At 39.0% G+C, this 16,285-nt stretch overlaps 1 long non-coding RNA gene across 2 annotated transcripts in view; it reads left to right on the forward strand.

Annotated features, from left to right (window-relative positions):
* LOC105374971 (uncharacterized) overlaps positions 1-16,285 on the forward strand; it is a 241,097-nt gene that overhangs the window by 40,705 nt on the left and 184,107 nt on the right. The window contains exons 1-4 of one of the 2 annotated variants that reach the window (XR_001744025.1): positions 1,057-1,134; positions 7,582-7,658; positions 9,100-9,231; positions 10,607-10,721. This is a non-coding gene — a long non-coding RNA (uncharacterized LOC105374971). Of the gene's footprint in view, positions 1-1,056; positions 1,135-7,581; positions 7,659-9,099; positions 9,232-10,606; positions 10,722-16,285 lie in introns of those variants that run through there. The other variant, XR_001744024.2, reaches the window with a different exon arrangement.

The raw sequence follows: 16,285 nt of genomic DNA on the forward strand, positions 1-16,285 counted from the left end.
CTGGCTGCTGTCCGTCCCCCAAGGAGCTCAGGCAGCCATAGCTGTGGTGCCGGTTGCCCCTCCCCCGGGAGCTTGGCAGGCTTAGGCATATTCCAGCTGAGAGGCTGTTGAGAATCTGCGCAGCTCCAGGGTTGGGACCCTAGGCCCTGGTGGTGTGGGTTTGCAAGTGGGATCTTCCGATCCATGGGTTGCACGGTTCCACGGAGAAAGCATGGTAGCATGCTCACTCACTGCCTCCCTTGGCTGTGGGGTGGGGGCTCCCCTGCCTTGTGTGGCTCTGAAGTGGGCCACCGCACCACACTGCTCTTCCTTCCTCTCTGTGGATCACGTCAGCCACCTAGTCAGTTCTGATGAGAGAACCTGCATACCTTCGTTGCCAGTGACAGGGAAGGATTCCCACACTAATTATGTTTCTTTTCAATGGGAGCCTCTGATCGCCACTGTTTCTAGTTGGTCATCTTGTCCTCGCTTCCCTCTTTATGTTTAAAAGTAGAAGCAATACCTGCTTGTGGGATTGTGATAAGGATTAAGGAGAATGCACGTGTTCTGCAGTGCCTGGAACATAGTAGATGCTCAATAAATGATGATTCCTACCAGAAATCTATGAGCAGCGACATTGGGATTTATTCTCCATAGCAGCATCTCCAAAGGCTGGGTCCTATACCTTAGTTAAAGTCATGAAGATGCTAGGCTTAATACCTGGGTGATGGGTTGATAAGTGCAGCAAACCACCATGGCACACGTTTACCTGTGTAACAAACCTGCATATCCTACACATGTGTCAAATAAAATAAAATAAAATAAATAAAATAAAATAAGTCATGAAGAGGCTCCCTTACCCAAGGTTCCATATAGAGCCAAACAATTCCTTTTGCTTTTTTGTTATGTGTAGTGGTGCAGATTAATAAAATGAGACTATCCTTTATTGTGCTAAAGCCCTATCATTCAGTGTTTTTAGGAACAACTCTACAAGTCCATTTTGGCTTCTGCATGGAGAGAAGTGTGCTCTTACCTTGTCCTGTGGTAACGATGTCACAGATATTTCTGAGTATAATTTGTGGTTAAAAACCTAGTTTGAGTTTTCCTGTGATTTTCAAGAAAGCATATACACCGTCTATCCCTGCACTTTCACTGGTTAGTATTTTAAACATTCCTGATCTGTTTTTACTGAAAATGTACATATATAGGACAGAAATGTAAGATAGGTTTGCTCTCCTACATCTAGTGACAGCCTTTCCAGTCCTGATTTGCTCCTGATTTTTGACAGTTGAGTTTATTTAAGAAGTGGAAGCACAACTATCAAACTAGCATCTTGCATACATTATTGTAACAGTACAATAAACAGCTGTTAATAAAGAGTTTCAGAGTAGAGATATCTGATTTTATGATTTACTCTGTAGAACTAATTAGAAAAAGAAATCTTTATTGCCTCATAGTCATCTAGCCCCTTCACATTGATGTCTTCTGGCATCTTTTTTCTTCAAATTTTGTGAGTGATAGTGGTCCACATTAGCTCCTGCTCAAGACAGATTAGGACATAAGTGAAGTTTCTCTTCAATCTCTGCAGCGATATATATATATATATATATATATATATATATATTTTTTTTTTTTTTTTTTTTTTTTTTGCCTGCTTCTTACATGTTAGGCCTTCCATGCACAGGAATTCCAACACTTTTTGGCTGACTAGGCCCACCTGCTAGTTATCAGTTAAAGGGAATAATTTTAAGTTGCCAATGGCTTTACTATGCACTAAATAACTTCATTAATTTGAGCAAGTCATTTATGTCTTTATCTGTAAAATAATGACATTTGGCTAGATGACATACTGTCAGTCTTTCATGGATTAGGATTCTATGGAAAACATGAGATTATGTCAAGAGCATGAGGGCTTTATTTTATTTATTTAATTTTTGCTTTTTTTGTGAGATGGCATTTCACTTTTGTTGCCCAGGCTGGAGTGCAATGGCGCGATAACGGCTCACTGCAACCTCCGCCTCCTGGGTTCAAGTGATTCTCCTGCCTCAGCCTTCCGAGTAGCTGGGATTACAGGCATGCGCCACCATGCCTGGATAATTTTGTATTTTTAGTAGATACAGGATTTCTCCATGTTGGTCACGCTGGTCTCGAACTCCCGACCTCAGGTGATCCACCCGCCTTGGCCTCCCAAAGTGCTGGGATTACAGACATGAGCCACCACGCCTTGCCAGCATGAGGGCTTTAAAACATAAGGCTGGAAGGAAGTGATGCTGAGTTTAACTGAAAGAACAAATTTCGAATGATAGACTACACTGTAAACATTCACAAATGTTTGTGGAACACATACCATATGCATAGCACTGTGTTTTATAGCAGAACACAAAAAATGCAGCAGACACCATTCTTGTCCTTAAGGAGTTTTCAGTTCAGTCGCAGAGACATGTATACTATAATTTTATGTCATATAATTAAATTAAATTAATAGCATAATGGAGAGACAATCAGTGTGATGGTTATTTGACATCTGTATTACTCTGTGTTTTTTTTCTATAAATACCTGATACTGAGTAATTTATAAAGAAAAAAGTTATATTTTGGCTCATGATTCGGCTGATAGTACAGGAAGCATGGTGCCAGCATCTGCTTCTGGTGACGGGCTCAGGAAGCTTACAATCATGGTAGAAGGGGATGGGGGAGCAGGCGTGTCACATAATGAGAGCGAGAGCATAAGAGAAAGAAGGGGGAGGTCCCAGACACTTTTATTTGTTTAATTTTTAATTTAATTCAATTTTTAATTTTTTTTTTGAGTTGAAGTCTCGCTCTGTCTCCCAGGCTGGAGTGCAGTGGCGCGACTTCTGCTCACTGCAACCTCCGCCTCCCAGGTTCAAGCAATTCTCCTGCCTCAGCCACCGCACCCAGCCCCTCAGACACTTTTAAACAACTAGATTTCATGTGAACTAACTAAGCAAAACTCACTCATCGCCAAGGGGATGGCACCAAGCCATTCATGAGGGATCTTCTCCCATGACTCAGTCACCTCCCACCAGGCTCCCTCTCCATCACTGGAAGTCACATTTCAACATGAGACTGGAAGGGGAGAAACATCCAAAACATATTAATGTCCATTTTAGTTTAGCTAGAGTTCGGTAGGTAATTATAGATGTTTACTGCATCAAAAACAGGATCACTTTTAACAGCGAAAACAATACTTGACATAGTTGCCAGTATCCTCTTGGAGATTTAAGGTTGGTTTGTTGCAAGGAAAATACTGTTTCACATGTTCTCTAGAAACACATTAAAATCTAACAAGTTCTCCATTTTGAATTTCTGGGAAGCAAAGGAGCTGGACTCAAGATAAAAAGACACAGTTTAGGGGCTTAAAACAGCCATTTTATTTTGCCCACAATGTTGGATAGGTCAGGAATTTAGGAAGGAGTCACTGTGATCTCTATTCTGCGTGGCTTCATTTGGAGTTGCAGATCAATTGGAGGCTCCACTTCCGTGATGGCTTCTTCACTCACATATTTGGCACCTCCGTATTCCTTGGTCATTTTTGTCCACATGGTGTCTCATTTTCCAAGGCCTCTCAATGTGATTTGGGCTAAAGTAGTCTTCCTTTTCCCTGCTGGCTGGACTTTAAGAGATCAGGACAGAAGTAATCCATTCACTTAAAGATTAGGCCCAGGAATGGGCCATGTCTGGTCAAAGCTGCCAGAGGGAATACTTCCCTTGATGAGAAGAGTGTGAAAAACGTGAGGCCATCTTTAATTTGCCACACACTCTTTGGGGCACATGGTGTGATATGAAATCCTAAAGTCTTGATTTTTTATTTATGTGATTTTTTTTTTTTTTTTTTTTTTACGAGTAGGGAGTAAATAAGTGGCGAATCCAACCAGCTTTCTCAAAAGTAGACTACTGGCATTTTGAGAGAGACAATTATTTCTGTAGATATGTGCCAAAAGCGATAGGATATTTAGCATTCCTGGCCAGCACTCACTAAATACCATTTTGCCTTACCTTGTTATTAGACGATACAAAAACATGATCTAAAACATTTCAAAACTACCCCTGCAGGAGCGGGCAGTGCTTCTCCCAGGCGAAAACCACCAGTTTAATGTCTTAAAATGGCAGATTTCATAGTGAGGTGCTGATGAGGATACTGTTTGGCCAGTTTGGACATAGATAATGATAAAATGATTTGTTTCTGCTCCATTCCATTCTAGACAACTCAGACTTCTTACTGAGAGCATCTATGTCCTCTATGTTTCTATCATTGCAAAATGTTGCAAAGGTATAAATGCATATATTATGCATCCTGTCCACAAGTGGGATATAATGTTATATTAGTCAGTCATCAATAAAAATACTTCATACTACTTTCAAAAGGAGAAATATATTCATTTTATAAGGCATTAGAAGACACACACATACCTTGAACCACACAATTCAGATGTGAACACTATTGATGTTTTGATGTATATCATCGTGATTATTAATATATGTAGCTATATGAAAAGATTTCATATATCTAGTAGATTACATACAGTACTTTGTATTACTCTCTATATAGTACTATATATAGTGCTTTTTGGTAATATACTTTTGTTAATTCTTAAGTCTGGGAAAGCAATATAAAACATTAAGTAATGTGTTAAATATAGCCAAAGGGCAAAGTTTTACTATGCAGGGGGATGTCAGATGAAGTTACTGTGGAAGGATGCTTAATCAGGAGCCTGAAGAGTAGAATTAAAATTGACAAGGTTCTGATCAGTTATTCCATGATCAGAATCAGCATAATATAATTGGAAGACAGTCTAGTTTGTACCTGTGTTATTTTTCTCTAACTTTGGTAAACATCTTATTGTTTTTTTAAAATTAGGTTTTACTGTACAAAGCTTTGAATTTGAAAATGGTAATGTTTTTAAGAGCTACAGGGAAATTTGGAGCAGGCGTTTGTTTTTTAAAACACTCTCTTAAAGATGTCATTAACATTTGCATAGTGTTCTAAATAAACCAACAGCTGGATTCGGTGACAGCTGTGATATATTGATCCTGCATGGAATGGTGGGGTGGGGATTTCAGAAGTTGGTGAGTGATAAAATAATGAAAGACACCCTCTAAAGATCACCCATAATTCACAGTAAGATCAAATCCAGAAATTATATTTCTTACCCAAAGTGAAAGGAATGAGAAAAAGCCTTCTCTTTATTATTCTCAATTTACTGTTACCATGATAAAGGTTAGATAGTCATCACCAACTGCCTTAGCAATAAATATTAATATTCTAAACAATATTAACAGATTTACTACTTTTACTCATTATATCAATAACCCAAATTACTAATATATGAATGAAACAATTAAAAACAGTGTAAGTTACTTGAGGTAAAGGCAGAAACTTAATTTTATTCTCTACTCTTTCCTACCACTCAAAAGTAACTAGTATTTGGTAACTTTGAATGACTGAGTGAATGAATGAAAGTCTCCACAATAAGAACTATATTTTCTTATGAAAAATGGTAAGAGAAATAAATGGCATGAGCAAAAAGAAGGAATTACTTCCATAGCAAGTATGATTTTTGCCTATAAAAACTGGCCTGTAAAATGCCTTTTTTATACAATTACAACTCGATTGAGTGTAATCTACCCAACAGCAAATCCAGAAAATCTTTATGTAAACAAAATGAACTTGAGGTTGTTGCCTGCATCTGTCTAGCAAATTAGCTATAACTAGTGTAGCTAAAACTGATGTGAGGCAAGATATTAAAACCAACTAAAGGATTATTTTGTTATAATTTAAGAGGGTGGGATTGTTATTAAAATTCTTACAATTGTATAAAGAAAAATAGACTGATGAATGAAGAAACAATACATTATTTTAAACGGTAACTAGTACAGGGTGAATTACATAACAGGCACTATGTAAACATTTGTTGTTATTGAATGAATGAATGGTCAGTTGGTATTACATTATAATGAAAATGGCACAACCTGAAAGAGGCTACTGCAGGTGGTTTCTAAAGGAAATAAGCCTATTAAAATAGTATTTTAAGTTCTTATAAACCTTTCATTAAACAATAAACATCATAAAATATACTGGGATAGAATCATAACGATACATAGACCAACACATTCTGGCCAAATAAAAATAACATTGTCTTGGTTAATTGATAATTCAAATACCTCACTTGAGAAAGTTAACATTGCAAGTAATGTTATTGTACATGGTAGGAATCATGGAAAGAACCACTATTAGGCACTATAATTGTTTTTAAATTTCACTGGTCAGAAGAAGCAGTTGAGGTACCTATTAAACGTCAAATTTCTTGGCCTCAACACTGAGTGATTCTGATTCAGCAAGTCCAGGTGAGTTTCCTGAATCTGCATTTGTAACATGCATTTCAGGTGATTTCTAAGCCAGTCATCTGCAATCCGTATTTTGTAAAACAGTTCTTGGGATTCCTGCTATTGTGCTCCCACTCATAAAATTCAAGCCATGAGTAATTAATGGACCTGAAGTTTTGTAATTTTGGGGTGGCATTCTTTCAGGGCCTGCCTTCCAACTGGATCAAATTCTTCTAAAGTCTGCTGTCTCTAAAATAACTACCTTCACTCACTGAAGACATAATGTTCACAGTAAGACTGGTCTAAAAATTCCATTGTTGTGTCATCTTTATTGAGTTTTAATAACTGTGTTATACAAGCCTTTCTTCCCTTCCATACTGTGAAACAGATTAAGTAGCATTAGAATCAGCTGCATTAAAAATTGGGTAAATGCTGTGGACTGAATGTGTATGCCCTTGCAAAATTATTATGTTGAATTACTAACTCCCAATGTGATGGTATTAGGAGGTGGGGCATTTGGTAAGTAATTAGGTTATGAGAGCAAAGCCCTTATGAATGGAATTCTTGCCCTTGGAAACTCCAGAGAGTGTGCTTTTCCTCCCATAACTATCTGTAAAGACACAGAGAAAAGATGGTTGTCTAGGAGCCGGGAAGTGGGCCCTCACCAGACACCAAATCTGTCGTTGCTTTGATCGTGGGCTTCCCAGCCCCCGGAACTGTGGGAAATAAATTTTTGCTGTTTATAAGCCACTCAGTCTGTGGTATTCTGTTATAGCAGCCAAACAAATAGAACAAGAAAATATTCACCCCACCAAGAAACCATATGGATCTGGTGCTTTTTCTAAGGGGGGAGGGCTAGCTCTTTGAGCAATTCCTCTATTTCTTTTATGTGTATTGGAACTCTGATATTTTATCACTTCTAGAGTAAATTTTAATTTTTGGAAAATTATACATTTTATCCATGTTTTCAAATGTTTTTGTTTGTGTAGGGTTGCATAAATGAGTTTTATATGCTTTAAATGTCTTCCATATTGATGGCTATTTCTCCTTCTCTCTTATTTTGTGTATGGCTGATTTTTCACTTCCCCCACTTCAGTTAGCTTGTAAGTGAGCCATGGAGAAAATGGCAACAAATACTTTAAAGAAGATAATTTTTAAAATGAGAATAACAATTTAATTTCTTTAGAAGATGAGAAAGGTACACACTAACATACATATTATATAAATACAAATAATATCTGTCATTTTCTCTTCCAGTTTATCTTGTAGTGTCCTTGACGAATGTGACCAGTAGCGTTCTAGTGGATTTACCCCTTATGTATATGGAAGTATAGGTAAAAATAATACAATTCTTTTTTCGTATAGGTTGGTACAAAAGTAATTGCAGCTTTACCATTACTTTTAAATGGCAAAAACTAAAATTACTTTTGCACCAAGCTAATAATAGTATATGTTGACTATCGACTGTTTAATTTTTGACATTGATGTGTCAATGTTGATTACATTTTGAATACCTATCAGTTTATATGTATATGTATGTGTGTTTGTGTGTGTGTGTGTATATATATATATCTCCATGAATTTTATTAGGTTAAATGTTTTCAAAGGGTAAAATGCTTACAGATTGATAAAATGCTTTTAACTAGCTGATTGAGAACTGAGATCAGAAAATATTACAGAATGAGATAGAAAGAAAGTCAGCTGCGTTCAATGCATGTGAGTGTCAGATGGTCATTTGTCCTTGCTGAATCCTCCCTACGTTTTTTATTTGATTGTTATTAGTCAAAATTATGTTGGCTAAGCTGAAAAGTAGGAGAAATAATTGTAATATTAAGTGTCTTAATTATATTGGTTAATATTAGTCACATTTTACTTCTTTCTTTCTTTTTGAGACAGGGTCTTGTCCCTCTGTCACTCAGGCTGGAGTGCAGTGGCACCGTCATGGCTCACTGCAGCCTCAACCACGCTGGCTCAAGCAATCCTCCCAGCTCAGCCTCCCACATAGCTGGGGCTATAGACATGCACAATGCCAATGCCTGGCTAATTTTTTTTTTTTTTTTTTGAGATGGAGTCTCAGTCTGTCGCCCAGGCTGGAGTGCAGTGGCGCAGTCTCAACTCACTGCAAGCTCCGCCTCTCTGGTTCACGCCATTCTCCTGCCTCAGCCTCCTGAGTAGCTGGGACTACAGGCACCTGCCACCACGCCCGGCTAGTTTTTTTTTTTTGTATTTTTAGTAGAGAGGGGTTTCACTGTGTTAGCTAGGATGGTCTCGATTTGCTAACCTCGTGATCCTTCCATCTTGGCCTCCCAAAGTGCTGGGATTAGAGGCACTTTTAATTTTTAACTTTTTTTTTTTTTTAGATAGATGAGTTACTCATTTTATTCTAATAGGTATGGTTCTGCTAATCTCATGGGCCTACAAGCTTGTAGAAGAAAGATGCTTAAGCTTTGGTCTTTTTTGTTTATAAAAGTAAAATTTTCTTTTCTCCAAAGCTCATTTGTAGCACTACAGAGGTTGTTTCCTACCTGTAGGCAAGTGATAGATGGAAGGCAGAATTCTAATAACTTTTTCAGCACATGTTGACACCCGTGGTCTTTTCTTTCCCTTGAGGGGGTGGGGTGGTGGTAGCTCTAGTTATGTCCAGAATTGTGATGAAAATGCTCTCTGTCACAGTCGGCACAAGGTGCCCTGCTAGTGCACAATACCTAATGGATAATGACGGGACATATTCACACCTTGAAAATGAGGTGGTGAATTTTTTGAATTTTCTTATAGAGCTCAGTGCAATGAGAGTCCCCATGGAGATACACGGGTTCAAGATCTGTCCTAGCAATAGCAGGCGATGACAGAGGGCTCTGTTTCAATATGTTTCGTACAGGAAATCACAGCTTTGGCGTGCTGAAGCTGGTAAGTTTTCATCAGGTATACACTAGTGGTGTCACAGACTTGTAGAATCTGTCACTCTGAAAGTATTCTGAGAGCCAGAGAATGACTCTTATTCCAGATGACATCGGCATCCCCTGGCATTGATAATTAAATGCATGAAGTGAGAACTTCTCTAAAAACAATAAAACAAACAAATATAACTTTGAAGGCACACAAGAAGGTGGTGCTTTTCAGGTTGAGAATGGAATGAAAGCTTTCAATCTAATTTATAGTCACTCTCACATGACTACACAAATTATAGACAGACAGGTAAAATCAGTATTTGGAGTGGATTTAATCCCGTTCAAATTCTTTAATAATTGCAGATTAGAAAAAAACACCTACTAGACAACTGAAATTGGGTTTCAGACTGGCATCTAAGGGCTGTTGTTCTCCTGCAAGAAAAGGTGGAATTGTAAGTCAATTAGTACTCTAGTGAGAATCTGTATTGGAGAACCTTATTAAAAGTGACCCTGATTGTGTAGTTTTAAGTTTCTCCAGGAAGACTGTGAGGTGTATTATAATATATGGTGGACCTTGTCCAATATCATTTATGAAAAATGCAGGTAACCCCATTGGTTTGGAGGTTTACATTTTCTCACTGGGGCACCCAAAGGGCAGTTCATCTGCATGGAGTAAGATGAGGGCAGTTGGGACTAGTCCACCTACCCAGTTCCGCCCGAAGTCATCTGGCTTAGGTCAGAGATCCATGGCAATTAAACCCTTCCTCCGCTTACTTACTCAGTGAGTCACCGCTTGGCTGAACAGACACAGCCACCTCCTGAGGTCCTGCTGCCTCTAAAGGTCTGGTCCCCATGCATTGAGAAAAAGGACAGGGTCAGCAAAAGAGGCTCACTTTGGGTCATACTAACCTGGGATCCTAGGAGATGGACACTGGACTTTTAAAAAATAATAATTTCCTTTCTAATCCTTTCCTCATGCATTTTTTTCTTCTTCTCTAATTTGCCCCAGTTCCTTTCATGATTCTCGAAACAGCTGTTTTCCCGAACCCCTTGTTAGGGTAAGCCTAACTATCACAGGCCATGTCTCTGTGGTTTAGGGATGGTACATCACTCTTTGAAACTGTTTTCAGGTGTTTTGCCAGAAGAATTTCAGCCCCTAAATAGGATATTTCATGGAGTCTTATGAAAAGGCTGCTTTACTACCGTGTTGTGAAGCTGTGGGTTTATAGCACTCCTAAATATTTAGATAGACCATGAAAATGCAGTCAATTAAGAAAAGTGTGATGGGTTTTAATGACCAGGTGGATTCAATTATTCAGCTTCAATTTCCTTTCTCTAGGATGTAAGTAGGTTTTAAAAAATTTAACTTGGTAAATTAACTCCTTAATTTAAAGGAACTGGTCCTCTGAAGACAGTGTCTGCAATGAAGCTGAGTCCTCTCTCTCTCCCAGGCCCGAGTGTCTACCTCTAATTTATTCCTGATGAATGACAGCAAGTTCACAGCCTCAGGTACTTTTTCATTCTTTCATTTCTCAAAGCTGCCTTCTCTTTTCTTTGTGTTTGTCTTAAGGTTCTGTTTGGGCATGCATTGGAGGGCTTTAAGGGTTTCACCTTAAGATCCTTGGATTGGAGCCTTTGATTTGAGTTCCTGCTGAAGATCACCCAGGAGTCAGCAGTCCTGCTGTGAGCAGCATCATTTAGTGGAGGCTGGGCCCATCCTGACCCCTAGCAGTACCATGGGGATAGCTTAGGCAAGTGTGTGTGCTCAGAGACACACCTTGAAGCTCTATGGTGGCTTGCAACTCCAGAGTTTACTTTTTGGCTTTAGAAAAGTGCTCTGAGGCTCACGCCTGTAATCCCAGCACTTTGGAAGGCCGAGGTGGGCAGATCACCTGAGTTCAGGAGTGTGAGACCAGCCTGGCCAACATGGTAAAACACCGTCTCTACTAAAAATACAAAAAAATTAGCCAGGCATGGTGATGTGTGCCTGTAATCCCAGCTACTCGGAAGGCTGAGGCAAGAGAATTGCTTGAACCCAGGAGGGAGAAGTTGCAGTGAGCTGTGATCTCGCCACTGCACTCCAGCCTGGGAGACAGAGTAAGACTGTCTCAAAAAAAAAAAAAAAAGGAAAAAAGAAAAGAGAGAAAAGAAAAGTGCTCTGAGATCTCACACTATTTCACCCATTTTTAAAATAATGATCAGTTGGAAACCACAGACATCAGTGGAGTTTGTAAACAAATGGAGAATGAGGTCATTTGTTGACTCATGTTCCTCCTTACTAGCCTTCAGGTTTTGGTCTGTGGGGTTTTGGAATGGGGTTGTAAAAGTACAAGAGCCACCGGGCCTATGGGTTGTCCATGCTAGATATTAAGGCTTTTCTGAGCTAGAGTGCTAAGATTTTAAGCAATTATTTTCTTTTTAACCTAATGATAAATGTGAAAGAGAAAAAGGAAATTTGTTTGCTTTTTCAATTCTAGAAGTATCACCTATGGATCTACAGGCTCCTGTCTTTTAGGATATAGACAATGGGCTTAGAACCTAAGGGGACTGATAATGGCTTGGCTTTGTGTTCCTACCCAAATCTCATCTTGAATAGTAATCCCCAGATGTGGTCCCCAGAGGGACCTGGTGAGAGGTGATTGGATCATGGGGGTGGTTTCCCCCATGTTGTTCTCATGGCAGTCAGTGAATTCTCACGAGATCTGATGGTTTTATAAGGGGCTCTTCCCCCTTCGCTCTCTCTCTTTTTCCTGCTGCTTTGTGATAGAAGTTACTTGCTTCTCCTTCCCCTTCCATCATGATTGTAAGTTTTCTGAGGCCTCCCCAGCCATGCAGAACTGAGTCAATTAAACCTCTTTTCTTCATAAATTACCCACTCTTGGGTATGTCTTTAATAGCAGTGTGAAAATGGACTAATACAGGGACATAAATCTGAGCTACCAGAGCTATGAAACAGAGGACTGGAGGGACTGAGCTTGCAGAGATGGTCACCCTGGCGACTGGTGCTTGTGCCAAATGCTTGTCATTGTGTGTCTGGGTACCAAAGAACCAGGGAAATAAAAACTTGCGTTCAGCAGTGTGGTCTCTGCAAAACCCTCTATGAAGACTGTTGAATCCTTTCTTCCATTTGATATGACCCTCAGGTGGTCATAAACCCTTGCTCCTTGGTTGGAGAACAGATGTTTTTAGATGGGGTAACCTGAATGTCCTCCCGCTGTGGTTGTCTTGGGTGTGGTACAGAGCAGACTTCCTATGGTAAGCTTTCCTAGGAATGAGGCTTAGAATATGGTTAGAAATGAAAGCGAAGGGAGGAGGAAGGAGAGGAACTCCCCAACCTAGGAATTCAGATGCTGCTCCTCTGCAAGATGCCTCATGTCTCGAAGTGGGAAAATAGCAAAACATTGAAAGGATTTGCTGAACACTGGAGCACTCTCAAAACAAAACCAGCTCAGGCAAATGGAGACGAAGAAGTATATGGAAAAATGCCTCATAATTTCCCCAATAAAATGTCTCTCTGGTTTTCTGTGAGAGCACTGTTCTAGCAGAGGGCTTGTGCTGCTGAGAGAGAAGTCCATTTAGGGTAAATGCTGAGGTAACAAACACTGCATTTCCGGTAAAAGTCAACTAGAAAAGCTATTTTTAGGTAATTAAAATTTATACTTAATCTGAATTATTTTCTTTGTTTTCAACATTGACTGAATTAGTTTCTGTCTAGAGAACAAGCAAAGTTTTATCATAGTTTCTGTTTTTGTTATTTGGCCTACCGTATTAATCATTTCAGTATTTTAAGGAATATATACCATTTTCCGTGGCTTATTTAAGGAATTACAGATTTAGAATGTAGGCAAGCGAGAAAACTATGCCCCAGAAGAGTCACCGTGTCCCTTGGGATGAACACTGCCCTTTATATCTTTGTGTTTCTTTGAGATTTTAACATTGATTGCCCACATGATTATAATCTTTTTTGGGGGCACTGAAATTGTGAGAACTGGCTGCTTCCACACTCATGCGGCAAGATTATTTCTTAGTTTGCATTTGTCAAAATGTGCATCACAGGCAGTTATTTGTACATGTTTCGATTGGGAGTTTTGTAGCTGTGGTTCTTGTCAGTGGGGTGGCATTCCTTGTTAGGTTGGTCCAGTATTATATTGATTAGTTCTTCCTTCCACCCTCCAAGGACACTGGTTTTCTTTAGCAGAATATATCTTCAGTCAGTGTTGAACTTCCAATGTTAAATCTACTGTAGGTCCTCTCCTTTATATTGCTGAAGGGAAGATTTCAACTTACCCAGCATTCTTGTATATAACAAATTACCTTTTGTGTTCCCAAATGCCTTGTACCACCAGGATTGTTTATTTTGGTCTGGAAGTCCTGGGGACCTCTTGATCTTCCTGCTTCTCCTAGAAGCTGTGCTGTATATTTCTAGAATGCCCAATGTAGTGAATGATTTACATTTTCCATGGAGTATATAATTTAAGAGGTTGTTGTGATCTCCTTTTTCCTGATATGCTATTACAGTCAGAAAAAAGAACTCCTAGGGCTGGGCACGGTGGCTCATGCCTGTAATCCCAGCACTTTGGAAGGCTGAGGTGGGCAAATTGCTTGAGCTCAGGAGTTCAAGACCAGCCTGGGCAACATGGTAAAACCCCATCTCTACTAAAATACAAAAATATTAGCCAAGTGTGGTGGCGTGCACCTGTAGTCCCAGCTACTTGGGAGGCTGAGGCAGGAGAATTGCTTGAACCTGGGAGGCGGAGGTTGCAGTGAGCCGAGACTGTGCCACTGCACTCCAGCCTGGGGGATAAGAGCAAGACTTGATCTCAAAAAAAAAAAAAAAAACAAAACAAACAAAAAAAACTCCTATATAAGTGTTTGTACCTCTCCTCTTACCATTGTCTCATCACTAAACAGTGCCTTAGTTTACTGAGTTAAAAATAATTAAGATTCAATAAGAAGTCATTTGGCCAAGTCTGACTGGCAAGCAGACACTGGAAATAACATGCCATTTTTAAATTAAAATGCCCTACTGTTTGTAATATTTTCATTTTAAAATGTGGAAAAGGGTGACATTTGGCTGTCAGAGATAACATGTTTGACACATTTTGCATTTCTGCCTTTGTGATTTTAGTTTTGGTTATGAACCTGATTTAAAGTATCTTAGAGCATGAGTATAGGATTTATAAAGTAAAAGTTATTTCTTTCACTGTATATATTTAAGACTTGCTGCTTGGTATACTAACTCATAAAATAATTTCTATAATCTAAGTTACCAAATTTACCTCAGTTTTTTTTTCTATTCTTTGAAATATACCGTATTAAATACAATGAGGTTGCATTAAACTTTTACTGTATGTAGTACTGTGGAATAAATCCCCACACCCATATCCCTTTCTACACGCTCTCCCCTACAAAAACCAATCACAAAATACTTCGAATGGTATGGGTTCTGCAAACGTGAAGATTGCATAACATGAGGATGTGCTATGGGGCTGCTTGACTATCCCTGAAAACTGTGTCTTATCCTGACTCAGAGGAGTGTCTCCCTGCAAAGGTGACCAATCGTCCTGGTTTGCCTGGGACTGTCCCAGTTTTATCACTCAAAGTGCCATGTCCTAGGAAACTCTTCAGTTCCAGTTAACCAGAACAACGTGTCCCTGCATCCATGTTCCAGTTCATGCGCCTCCTTAAGGCCCTGATCATCCAGCCAGTGATATACATCTTAGTCACTCTGAAACATTCCATTTCCCTGTCCTTGGGATTCTTCTGCGTTTTGAATTGAGAGAAACCCATTGATACAGGAGTTGTTTGCCCCATAATTATATTAAATGAAGCTCGTTAGAGCAGTTTAAATGTGATTGCACATTAAAATCACCTGAAGCTTGCTTGTTCAATGCTTTCTTGGATTCCTTAACATACTCCAGTATCTTTCCAGTAAGTCATTTAAAGAAAAACATCTACCTTGAATTGTCTATTTTTTTGTTACAATCAGAGGAATCATAAATATTACACAAACACAGTCAATTTTGAACAAGCGAACTTCAGAAATGGCAGAAACCAATCCACTTCCAGAGGCCTCAATACCAGGAGTTTGTTTATCTTCCTTCTAGAGCAGTGGATTGGGCCTTGGCTATATCTTAGAATCACAGATAAGATGTTTTTAAAGTATGGTACCCAGACCCCATCTCAAACCAATCAAGCCAGAGTCTCTGAGGCCAAGGGATACTGAGCAGAAAGTTTGCAGAATCTCAGGTTATTTTAATGATATGTCACAAAATGAAAAATGCTAATAATCATATCAAAATGTTTTCAGCATTACTAGTAGTCAAAGCCAACTAAGCCAGCAATGAGGTACTGTTTTTATGTTTTGTTTTTCAGATAAGGAAAAGATTTTGAAAATATCTGGGTTTGGGAATAATTTTGTACAAAACAGAACTGTTGGTTTAGATCAATAAGGGGAAATGGAACAATATTTCTAGAGGACAATTGAAAACATGGATAAAATATGTGTTAATATAAATTGACACATTTTCACCTTGTGTGTGTATACACGCACATACAATTGATAAAAATTTTGCAGTTGACTCTTGAACAACGTGGGGATTAGGGGCACTGATCCCCTGTGCAGTCAAAAATCTATGTGTCACTTCTGACACCCCAAAAACTATACTACTAACAGCCTACTGTTGACTGGATGCCCTACCAATAACATCAATAGTTGATGAACACATATTTGGTATGTTATATATATCATATACTGTATTCTTACAATAAAGTAGGCTAGAGACAACCAAAAAGAGATAGTTATTCATTAAGTAGAAGTGGATCATCATAAAAGTCTTCATCCTTATCATCTTCATGTCAAGTAGGCTAAGGAGGAGGAGAAAAAGGTGGGCTTGGTCTTGCTGTCTCAGGAGTGGCAGAGGCAGAAGAAAAATCCACATGTAAGTGGACTGTGTAGTTCAAACCAGCATTGCTCAATGGTCCCTGTACTAGCTAATTGATTGGTGCTGCTACATATAGATGATTTTTATTTACCCTGTAATTCCAGCATTTCTTTAATAAATTGATTATTT

This window comes from Homo sapiens, chromosome 6 (assembly GCF_000001405.40).
Source record: "Homo sapiens chromosome 6, GRCh38.p14 Primary Assembly".
NCBI lineage: Eukaryota > Metazoa > Chordata > Mammalia > Primates > Hominidae > Homo > Homo sapiens.